This window comes from Homo sapiens, chromosome 4, assembly GCF_000001405.40.
Source record: "Homo sapiens chromosome 4, GRCh38.p14 Primary Assembly".
NCBI lineage: Eukaryota > Metazoa > Chordata > Mammalia > Primates > Hominidae > Homo > Homo sapiens.
Genome location: NC_000004.12, coordinates 115,208,396 through 115,220,564, shown reverse-complemented (window position 1 = coordinate 115,220,564; position 12,169 = coordinate 115,208,396). Strand labels below are relative to the sequence as shown.

The 12,169-nt window shown below is 33.7% G+C and overlaps 1 annotated feature.

Moving 5' to 3' along the window:
• Window positions 711-1,280: an enhancer, noted in NCBI's record as "OCT4-NANOG hESC enhancer chr4:116140441-116141010 (GRCh37/hg19 assembly coordinates)". NCBI's record gives its function as "activates a minimal SCP1, AML or CMV promoter by ChIP-STARR-seq in primed H9 embryonic stem cells {active_cell/tissue: H9 hESC(primed)}" and the evidence as "EXISTENCE:reporter gene assay evidence [ECO:0000049][PMID:30033119]".

Here is a 12,169-nt window from a genome sequence, read left to right as displayed (position 1 = left end):
CTTCAGGCTGCTGAAAGCCTAAAATAAAAATTAAAAAAAAGAACAAAAACAAAATATAAGGAAGGTTGGACAAGCTTGCAAGTTAGATAATAATATAGATTCTCTTTGGTTTTATATAATATATTCATATCAAAGAATGCTTTTACAACATCTCTTAAATACCCAAATCTGATTCTCTTGTGCTTACATTCAAGGATTTTCTTTAAGAAAAAATGGTATGACTAGGTCTACATTAGAAAATAATTCTTGTAATTTTGTGGAAGAGATGTAAAAAAGCAGAAACTGGGAACCAGAAAAAGGGCAGGAATAGAAAGATAGTTCACAAGCAATTCTGGTATAATTATGAACAGATGAGAGGCAAGGTATGAGAGAGAGAGTGAGTAGTAAATGGTGATTCAGGGGTTTTAGCAATGTGAGGACAAAAGAGAGAGCAGGAATGAGAGTCAACAGAATAGTAGGCACAGATGGGGATGTATCAGAAGGCTCCACGTGCCTCCAACTATCATACAGTAAAAGCACATGTGTAAAAATGAACCAAAATGCCAAAGCAAACAAAAGAAAATACACTCTTTGTAATTATATATATATATAAATTAAGATTGCTTATTGCTATTTTTACTGAATATTAAAGGTATAGTAAAATCAACAATATGATTATACAATGTCATGAATTACTTTATATTTATTGAATTTCTATTTTTCCACTTAGTGTCTCATCCTAGTGCCACTCTGATTAAAACAAACATAGTTACCAGGACAAGAGGACCTGGAGGACCTCTTCTTCAGGAGTATAAGGAGTCCCTTATTTTGTCAAATGCAACAGATCCTCCTGACTGTTCTTTGACATGTGTGATTAATTGCCAAGAGTCACTTACTTCCTCACTCGTGTTGCTCCTGCTCTGCTCTCCAACTGCCACACTGCATCTCTCAGAAGAATTTAAATGTGCCTTTATATTTAAATTTCATTCTTGTGATCAGGCTGAACCTGTCATACACCTACCATCTTCACCTAATAATAGGCAAGCCTTAGTGAGTACTAGGACTCCTACTGTGTATTCAATACACTATCCATTGTGTGAAAATACTGATGTGTCTCCTGGAGCCTGCAGGTATGCATACATTTATTTGCTCTTACGTCCATTTTCCTTGCCATCTGACAGTTTTCATCAAACACAGTGTTTGGTTAATTAATCTTTGCTCTGCTTTCTTTATTTATATTTTTACTTCAAATAGAAAAGCATGAAATTTAAAAACAAATTCCAGCCCTTGAGATTCCTGTAACTAAAAAGTACATAAGCCAAAATGTAGTCAGGTAGACAGTAGACTGGTAGCCAGTGTGAAGTCAAGAGTTACTAATGTTAAAAGGTACCTCGGAACAACATATTTAGCAAATTTTCAAAATAAAATATCTTTAAAATTAGCCAACCCATCTTAAAACACTTTACAGAAGGTTGAAAAAATGAATGTTAGTTGGATATACTTAATGTTTGTGAAATTATTTCTATTAATGATAGTTAAAATAAGTTAACATAGCATGTTATTACAGTGCTTTTTATTTGATACCGATATTCTCACTTAATTCAAAACAACAATATTCATATTTTTCAAAACTCCCATTAAATTGTTATGTAAGAAAATTGTGTTCCTCCATTTTTATACCTAGATATGACATTTTTCTGATCATTTCGCTTTTTAAAAAAAATAGTGAGTTCAAGTGAAGGGCTGAATATGGAAGAGGCACCTCTGCTTTCATGTTTTTCATTTATTTCCTTTATGGTAACCTTTTAAAACTAAGTTTCACACATTCATTCCTTTGTGTATACTTCCTGCCACTTGTCCAGGAGTAAGCCATGGAGTCAGTGATGAACGTAAATAATGATCTGTCATTCTCCACAAGAACACCCGGTATTCTCTCTCGAGAGCTCCTACTCTGAATTCTGCAAGGAATCCCTCCTGTAGCTCCTATTTCTCTGCTCAGCCAGTATGAGAGGTTGAATAAAGGAAGGATTTTTTCCCCTCTGCTTTCACAGCAGCACAAATTCATATTAATCTCAGCAAAGAAGAAAAAGTGTTCATAGTGATAAATTAGCTGCATTAAATACTCTGAACAGATTCAAATATAGTGTTCATAAATCTATTCAAATTTAGCTATTTTCATCCATACTGTTTCCATCAGCTCAGATCATAAAATTCTTGAGTCGCATTATTTTTTATGTTAATAAAAATAAAGTAGCCACTGCCAAGAAGTTTATTCAGGTACCTTTCTCAAACTTCAGATACATTTTTTTTTACTTACCTATGCATTTATCTAGCCATTCACCTATCCATCTATTCAATCATTAATCACTTTTCTACAAACATTTATTTTTAAGTGTTAACAGAAAAATAATATAGCCAGTATTGGGGATTGTTAGATAATGACAAAAAATTAATTGCTGATAATTTCATTTACATTCCAGTTTTCACAATTTTAAGGCTTGCTGACATTTCACTTAATTGTGTATATTCCTAATATTCTTTCTGGGAAGATGCCTCAAATTAAGAAAATTTATTTATGTAGAATCAACTGTTTTTCTAAAAAATAATTAAGAAATTTAATGTTAGATGTTTGATCTTTTAGATTTTCCTTTCTCAGAAAAATAAATGTTTGTTAAAGCTTTGCAATTTTAATTTTTATAGATATATTTTATTGAACAAATTGGGTTTTTAGAGTGCAGTCAGAAAACAAATCCATTTCCTTCTTCCTCCTACTCATTTTAACCTACTCTGTAAGAATGGAACTTTCCTGCCTTAGATGGAATTTTTGACACGTTCTTTAACTCTATTGCTTGCTCTTCTGTTTTCATTCAAATGAGAAGCATCTCTTTCAAGAACTTTGTTTGAAATAAATCTTGTCCTTTTTAACGATCAAGCTTTCCAGATGGGAAGTTTGCAGAAGGATATGGCTGAATGCATGATATATTTTCTATTTTTTGCCTATATCTGTATTCTTCTCCATCTCTCACTAGGCTGCCTTAAGCTGTTCCAGGATTAAAGGAAGTGGGGGATTAATGAGAAAAGAGGTAAAAGGTAGGAATTTTATTTTTGAGAGTGACTGATATTATTTGGCATTGAATTTCTCTGTGCTTTGCTGGTCTTTAAAGCAAACTCTGTCTTGAAGCATGCTCTTCTGAGATACTTTTAATGAAATAAGGGATGCATTTTCCCTTGGTTGGTCATATATAAGTTCCCCATCATTCCCTGATTTTGTTATGTTCAATTTATTGAGCCTTTCTCTGTTAGAATTCCCTTCTTAACCACACTCCTGTCCCTTTTAGGCAAAATCCCTTCAATGATGCTCTGATTCAGATGACTGTCATCTACTGTGAGAACATCCTTCGTTCTGGTAAGCTCTGAAATTCAGGTTACTCCTTTCAATTTTGTAATTAGAAAAGGTAATCAGCCACCCTCTTTTTCCAAATGCATATCTGGCACCAATTTCTATCTTCCATCCCTCTAGAGAACTGCAAGTAAATGTATTCCTAAAGTGTGTGTGTGTGTGTGTGTGTGTGTGTGTGTGTTACAGTGAGGAAAAATTCTCACTCCTACCTCAACCATATTACATAGTTGTTCCAACTTACTTTATAAGCTGGAAGATACACCACCTTCTTAATAAATCCTACTTGGGTATTCCCCTATCTAATTTTCAAATATGGTAGTAGTTGTCATTTCCTGGGAAGAGAAAAGGACAGGTTCTCACCTGAGTTAGAAATAGTTCTTATTTCAATAGCTCTGTTACATTTATGACACTTCTTCCATACTGGTACATAAGAGGGCATTCATAAAAATTGTTTTCCTGTTAAAAATGCCAGCATAAAATTTAAAACTGGCATTTTAATGCTTTTCACTCAAGCACCATTTCTGAGAGTTCTTACTTACAGTGTATCTATGTTGATTAGTCTTTGACAGGGTTCCATATTACGATTTGAGGGACCTATAGTTTCATGCTGGCAATTACAAAATTTTTAAACCCAGAAACACTTTCACAAATATCTACTTTAAAATGTGGAAATAGGTTTATATTATATTAATATAACTTAAATTAGTCAATAATAATAAAGGAAAAAAGAGTTTTTATGTTGTCTAGATTTTGGCTCACCAGGACCCTATAGGAACTAGCTGCCCAGTGCTCAACTAAAGGAAAACCTAAATAAGTAGCAAATGCAAATAATAGAAGTCTAGGAATCTCATTAATTATGAAAAATTATATAAAAACTAAAATATATAAAGCACAAAATTATTCAAGAAGCATATTATAAGGAATTTGTAAGCTTTCACAAATGTTTTATTCACACTGTTACTCCCTTGATTCCTTCCCTCTGGGCTACTCTCTCATGCTTAAGATACATAGGTCTGCACTTTGAACAATCGTATCTAAATGGAAACTCAAGAATGCAAATAAAACAATGTGATTGGAATTTTGTGGCAAGCCCTTTTTATTACCTAAGTATACTCAGTAAACTCTCTGGCTACCTTCATTCACCGCTTCCTTTTATTTGACTCAAAGCAAAATTGTAATTCCCAATAACTCAACCTTGTCCAAATTCACTTCTCTCCAGTTAAGTACCTAGCCCGATGCTATTCTGATAGTCATCCAACAAATGTTTGCTTTTGTTTGTTGTTATCTCACCAATATGAGGACAACTCGATATATTCTTGATAATTTTGAGATTAAGGCAAAGATTTGAGAGGGCAAAAATGGCAACAGAATGCTTTATTTTACCTTCCGTAAGCAATGTGTTGAGAGTTTTTATTGTCAAGCTCACGATTCTTTATCAAATTGTACTTAATATTATACAGACCCATTCTCTAAATAAGTATCAACTCTTTAATATGTTTTGGATCTGGTGTGTGTACGTGTGTGTGTGTGTGTGTGTGTGTGTGTGTGTGCATGTGTGTGTGTGTTTTGACAGAAATTAGAGAGCAATGATAATGAAATAAATGAATGGAAAAAATCCTCAAGACAAACAGAGTCAAAACAAGAATAAGTCATATAAATAATTAAAATAAAATACAATAGTTAATGACATAGAAATAAATAACACGTGCTTTGGAAGCACAAAAGCAAGTTGAATAAACCAAATCATATAGCCCCCACGGAATGTGTCAGCACTCATTTTCCGTACTGGAGGATCTTAAGGATGTCACTAACTGTTGCCCAATCTTGCCTTCATGAATAGCTGATGTGGCAGAGGTTGGAAAGATTAAAATTATAATCCTTAAACATGAGAAAGGCTCTACGTCAAATCAAGAAAATCATAGAATACTGAGCATTAATCCAAATTGGGGTGCAAAACCAATAATAAAGTATTGTTGAGGAAACCAACCCATTTTAGAAAAATCAACATTTTTAATGTCAAAAAATAAAAGTCATTTCAGAGGAAACATAAAGAGGAAATATTTAATAACATCTCTTAAAATGTTTTGCCAGGAATGTTCACGAGATGGAACAATAATCAGTTGGGTGTTGATTTCAGATAAGAAATACTTAAAACTAGAACTATTGTTTTTAATATGTGTCATGCATTACACCATTTACTCTTGACAATCCTATGAGGTACATTAATTAATATCATTCTGATGTTACCGGTAAGGCAATTGAAGTGCATAACACATGAATAACTCTTTTGCATTCCTACACTCTAACTCCGGAATCTCAACTGTGATTTTATGCTGTCTGTTTGGAAACAGAATATACCTCATAGAGGTAAGATGGCAGATTTTCTAAATGTAATTTCTTAGTTGTAGTTACTACCTGTCATTTCACTTGACATCTTAATACATTTTTCTGAAGAACACATACCAAGAAACTCCCAAGTTTGAAAGTATTCTAAAATATTATGAAATCTAGTGATAAAACCAGGTGAAGTTTTTTTGTTTATTGTTTTTTAAACTATTGTAACCAAAAAGTTTGTTCTTCTCAAGAGTACCAGTTGGAAACAGAGAACAGATTCTACCAAGTCCTGAGAGGTGTGTGAAGATCCAGGGCAATGAAGGTGCAGATAGAGAGAAAACAGACTGTGTGGGCAGAGGCTGTGAGGATAGAGAAGAGCAGAGTTTTGGGTTTGTGATTGTTTGTCCCTAATTCAGAGTTTGCTGAAAAAGAGTGGTGAGAGAAAGCAATGCCTAAAAATATATTTTCTATGGAGTATATTGTATTCCACTTTAATGGTGTCTACAATAAAGATCTACAATATTCCTCAGAGGTTTAAGAGTTGCCCCTATAACCTAATAATTTTAATATGATATCTCAGTAATTAGCTATTATGTCTCTCTTGATATATCTAGATTAAATCCATTTCTCTCTGTCTTCTCAAGACAAGCTGTTTTCTGTATATACAAAATATCTTACATGGGAACAACTCTAATATAAAGTATTTGTACAATGAACTAATCAAATGAACTGAGTGCTGATTTCTAGATAACAATATAAGAAAAAACATCTAAGGACTATTTTAAATTTTACTCTAAGATAATGAGCTTAAAATTCAGCCTTTAACAGTCAATGAAACATTGGTTTCTCAGAAAGGTAATAGAAAGCCAACAGAAAATGGTCCTCCAATTTTATATGGCTGTGTGGTTACGTTTACCGTGCATCAAGAAACACATGATGAAACCACAAATGGGCAATAAAATAGAGCCAATGCATAAGGAAAGGGAGATTATATCAGGAAATAGTAAAATGAGGAACTAATTTAAAATGAAGAATTAAAATGAGAAGGATGAAGAACAGGATTTCAAAACCATGGTTGTGAATCCTTGAGTAAGGTAACCTCGGAATTATTCACAAATTTCCCAAAAGCAGGAAGAAGAGGACCTGTAATAAATGACTATTGTTTACTTACCATAAAGAATCTACCCTTCTTCTAGTAATAGAGTGTTTTTTTTTTCTTTTTGAGAGCAATTTTCCCCCATCCCGAATTGTCAGTCCATGGTATTAGTTTGGAGATGATCAGCGAGGGCCTCAGGTTTGAATCTTCCCAGAAAAATGCATTCAACCCAATGTGGGCCTATGAAAGACTATGATCAGGAATTGCTAGAACTGTTAAATTTAGTGAATTCACTTTTAGTGGAATGGTTACACTGGTGGAACATAATTTTGTAATTTCCAGGGAAAGAGCCTGCATTAGATTGAAGCCAACAAAAAAGAACACCAAATTGGGCAATGGGGAGAAAAGGAGTGAGCCCCTGAATTCAGCTATGATAAAGCTAGGTCCTTCTCAGAGATTTTTAGGTACATGAGGCAGTAAGTTCTCTTTTCTCAATGCTTAAAGTAATTGTAGATAATTTTCTGTTATTACAACAGAAATAATCCTGATTAATAAAAGTACATTTGGAAATCCAAATAAAATATTTGAAAATAGACAAAATACCTCATAATTGTTTACATTTAGTAGAGGAGATGTAACATTTGTATATATTCCTAAGGCAATAGCAACAAGAAATATAAATGGATAAAAAATTAGCTTAATTTCTAAATAACACAGCTATCTATAGTTCTAAATTTTAAAAGTAAAAAACTAAGTATAGTATCAGGGAGAACAGCCGTATCTGCCACAGAATTTTGGTTAATAATTTTTGTTAATAATGCAATGGGTTCTAGAATTGGATCTAGATTGGTCGGGTTGAGTGTAATGTTTATATACCTCATTACATAAAAAATACTAGTTTTTTTCCTCAAAATATTTTGGAACAACCTGCTCTAAAAAATGCAGATATAAAGTTAGTAGGAATCATAGGGGGAGACATATGCTACTGAGTAACATTTTAATAATTTCTTCTTGAAATAAAATGTATAATAAATTGTAGATTATATCACGATAAGGTCCAAGAGTTTGGAGGGCTCTTACAGGCCATCTAACCATTTTAAACCTGTACAGTTTAATTAACAGGTGAACATGTAGTTTCTACATTTTTTTTTTGCACACGTCTTTCTGAATAAGGCAACTTCATTCATTGAATATTTCAGTTGTATGGAAGCTGTTTCTTGCACTGAAGTGAAATATGCCCTCTTTCAAATTCAAACTACTATTCATCACTCTGTATTTTAAAACAATACATACTGTCTCAGTAAAACTATTGCATTTTACTTTAAACTTCTCTAGTTCAAATATTCCCAATATATTAAAACATACTTAATTCATGTACATCAATGTTTTTCTATGTGTCAGGTATTGCTTGGCTAGAAATACAGAAATAATCAGTACAGAGACATTTCTGCTCCCATGAAGCATACTCTCTGGATGACGTATATGCAGATATATAAACATAAAATGATGTTTATTACTGTGAAAATAAATAAACAAGATGATGGGAAGGTGTTGCCTTGAAAGAGAAAAGCGTTAGGTACAGAGAATAACCAAAGCATTCATCTACAGGAGGTGAGATTACAGCTGAAACCTGAATGATTAGAAAGGGCCATCGTGAGAAGATCTCAGGAAAAAGCATTTCAGGCAATGCTAGGCAAAGTATCTCAACAGAAAAATCACTAGGAGAAAATGCTTTGCTTATTGTATGATTTCAAATCTCCTCTTTTCTTGTATAGTCTAGCATGGCTTTTATTTGCTCAAAGTGCAAATCCTTGAGATACATATATTTCAAACTAACTTTTAATAAACTCAAGTACAATCAAACTACTATTTCCTGTGATTTGGTGCTCTGGTTTAATTAATGAAGCTTGAGTATGCATTAGCCTTTTCAGCAGTCAAATTGCATTATTGATTCATATTAATGAAGCACCATTTTCAGTAAAATTTTTAAAAATAATTTTTACCAGGTAATTAGTTTCATCTACATAGCTCCTTTTCCTTGCACTCTTGAGATATCTAAATTAAGAAATAGAGCCTTTTATAACAGAGTTGTATTAATAGGTATAATTAACACCAAGAAACTTTAATTCACTTTCTGTTATATGACTCTGGCAAATTTTTTATCATTTTCACTTGATAGCTGATTTCTTAATTTTCATGTTTGCCAACAGGCTTACAATAAGTGGAGGTGATGGTGGGTGGTCTTCTATTCAGAATTCTTTAATGTCATGGCTTATTGAGATGACTCATTCACTGCAGTCCCTACAATTGTCTTCCTTTCAACACTGCTGAGATTCACTCTGCTAACTCCATTATTTGTTAGGGAGGATCTGCACTGCTAGAATATGTCATCCAGCTATTATAAATTTTTCAGTAATTTTACAAAAATAAAAAACTACTTTCTTTTATTTTTAAAATTTGATAACTGCCATCATTTTATCTCTTCCAAGCACTGCTAGATGTCTCCAGCGTCATTTTATCATCCCAGAAAGAGTTTGTTTCTAATTTTCAATGTTTAAATGTCCTCTTTAATGAATTCACAAACTTCTTTGCCTTTATCACTTCCCAAGCTTCTGAATTTTTCTGAAAATAATTTCCTGGGAATAAACTACAGTGGAATTGCACATCAAGACTGACCTTAGCTAATACTCATCTTGAAATATTGTACAGAACACGATTTATCCTTCAATATCGTCATCATCATTGCTTCTCGGGGCTCAATTCTAGCTCTCAGATACTTGCACTGTACTTTTCCCTTAGTAACTGCGGATTAACTGAACTATGTGCCGATAATCACAAGTGAGTTATTCCAGTTTAAAGTTTTCTCCAGAATTATTGGGACTAAACCTGGTTGCCTAAATCAATATTTCAAAGTGAATATGCCTCAGACACCTTTAAGCTAAATATGAAATTGTAATAAGTAATATTCAAGGATCTATGAACTAATACATTTGTATTTATTTGTTTGTTGTATTTAACAAATATGCAGAATTCACTATGAACAAGTTCTTGGGTGGCCGAAGCTTCCACCTGCTTCCACTTTTGATTCCTGCTTGCTCTGCTCCACCAAGAAAATGGTTTCTTCAGGAAAAAGAGTAATGGGAAAAAAAAAAAAAAAAAAAAAAAACAAGAAAAGGAAAAGCACAAAGAAGAGTTCATGGGATTCTTAAAGTTCTTTTATTATTATTATTATTATTATTATTATTATTATATTTTAAGTTCTAGGGTACATGTGCACAATGTGCAGGTTTGTTACATAGGTATACATGTGCCATGTTGGTTTGCTGCACCCATCAAATCGTCATTTACATTAGGTATTTCTCCTAATGCTTTCCTTCCGCCAGCCCCCCACCCTCCGACAGGCCCCAGCTTGTGATGTTCCCTGCCCTGTGTCCAGGTGTTCTCATTGTTCAATTCCCACCTATAAGTGAGAACATGCAGTGCTTGGTTTTCTGTTTTTGTGATAGTTTGCTGAGAATGATGGTTTCCAGCTTCATCCATGTCCCTGCGAAGGACATGAACTCATCCTTTTTTATGGCTGCATAGTATTCCATGATGTATATGTGCTACGTTTTCTTAATCCAGTCTATCATTGATGGACATTTGGGTTGGTTCCAAGTGTTTGCTATTATGAATAGTGCCTCAACAAACATACGTGTACATTTTAATATTTCAACAGTTTTGGAAGAACAGGTGGTTGGTTGCATGGAAAAGTTCTTTAGTGGTGATTTCTGAGATATCAGTGCACCCATTACCTGAGGTGTGTACATTGTATCCAATGTGTGGTCTTTTATTCCACACATAACTCCCACCCTTCCCCTGAGTCCCCAAAGTCTATTATATTATTCTTATGCCTTTGCATCCTCATAACTCCTACTTATAAGTGAGAGCATACGATGTTTGGTTTTCTATTCCTGAGTTACTTTACTTAGAACAATGGTCTCCAACTCCATCTGGGTTACTCTGAATGCCATGATTTTGTTCCTTTTTTTGGCAGAGCAGTATGCTTGGTATAAATATTACACTATATATATCATTTATACATTATAATATATAATATATATGCATATATATATGAATGCCATGATTTTGTTCCTTTTATTGGCAGAGCAGTATACATGGTATATATATATATATAAAAAATGTTATATATTTCATATATAATATATCTATATATCACTATATATATTTTATATATATATTTATATATTTATATATATATATATATCTCAGATTTTCCTTATCCACTTGATGGTTGATGGACATTTAGGCTGGTTCTATATTTTTGCAATTGTGAATTGTGCTAATATAAACATGTGTGTGCAAGTGTCTATTTCATATAATGACTTCTTTTCCTCTGGGTAGATACCTAGTAGTGGAATTCCTGGATCAAATGGTAGTTCTACTTTTAGTTCTTTAAGAAATCTTCATACTGTTTTCCATAGTGATTGTACTAGTTTACATTCCCACCAGCAGTGTAAAAGTGTTCGCTTTTCATTACATCCATGCCACCGTCTGTTATTTTTTGATTTTTTAATTATGGCCATTCTTGCAGGAGTAAGATGATATCTCATTGTGGTTTTGATTGCATTTCCCTGATGATTAATGATGCTGAACATTTTTTCATACGTTTCTTGGCCATTTGTATATCTTCCTTTGAGAATTGTCTATTCATGTCCTTTGCCCACTTTTTGATGGGATTATTTGTTTTTTCTTGCTGATTTATTTGACTTCCTTGTAAATTCTGGCTATTAGTCCCTTGTTGGATGCATAGTTTTGAAGATTTTCTCCCATTCCATGGGTTGTCTGTTTACTCTGTGAATTCTTTCTTTTGCTGTGCAGAAGCTTTTAAGTTTAATTAGGTGCCATCTATTTGTTTGTTTGTTTATTTTTTGGGACGAAGTCTTGCTCTGTCACCCATGCTGGAGTTCAATGGCACAATCTCAGCTCACTGCAACCTTCACCTCCAGGGTTCAAGCAATTCTCCTGCCTCAGCCTCCCCTGTAGCTGGGATCACAGGTGTCCACCACCTGGCCTGGCTAATTTTTGTATTTTTAGTAGAAACGGGGTTTCGCCATGTTGGTCAGGCTGGTTTCAAACTCCTGACCTCAGGTGATCTGCCCCCCTCGGCCTCCCAAAGTGTTGGGATTACAGGTGTGAGCCACCGTGCCTGGCCTCATCTATTTTTTTGTTGTTGTTGCATTTGCTTTTGGGTTCTTGGTCATGAGCTCTTTGCCAAAGGCAATGTCTAGAAGAGTTTTTCCTGTTATCTTCTAGATTTTTTATGATTTCAGGTCTTAGATTTAAGTCTTCCATCCATC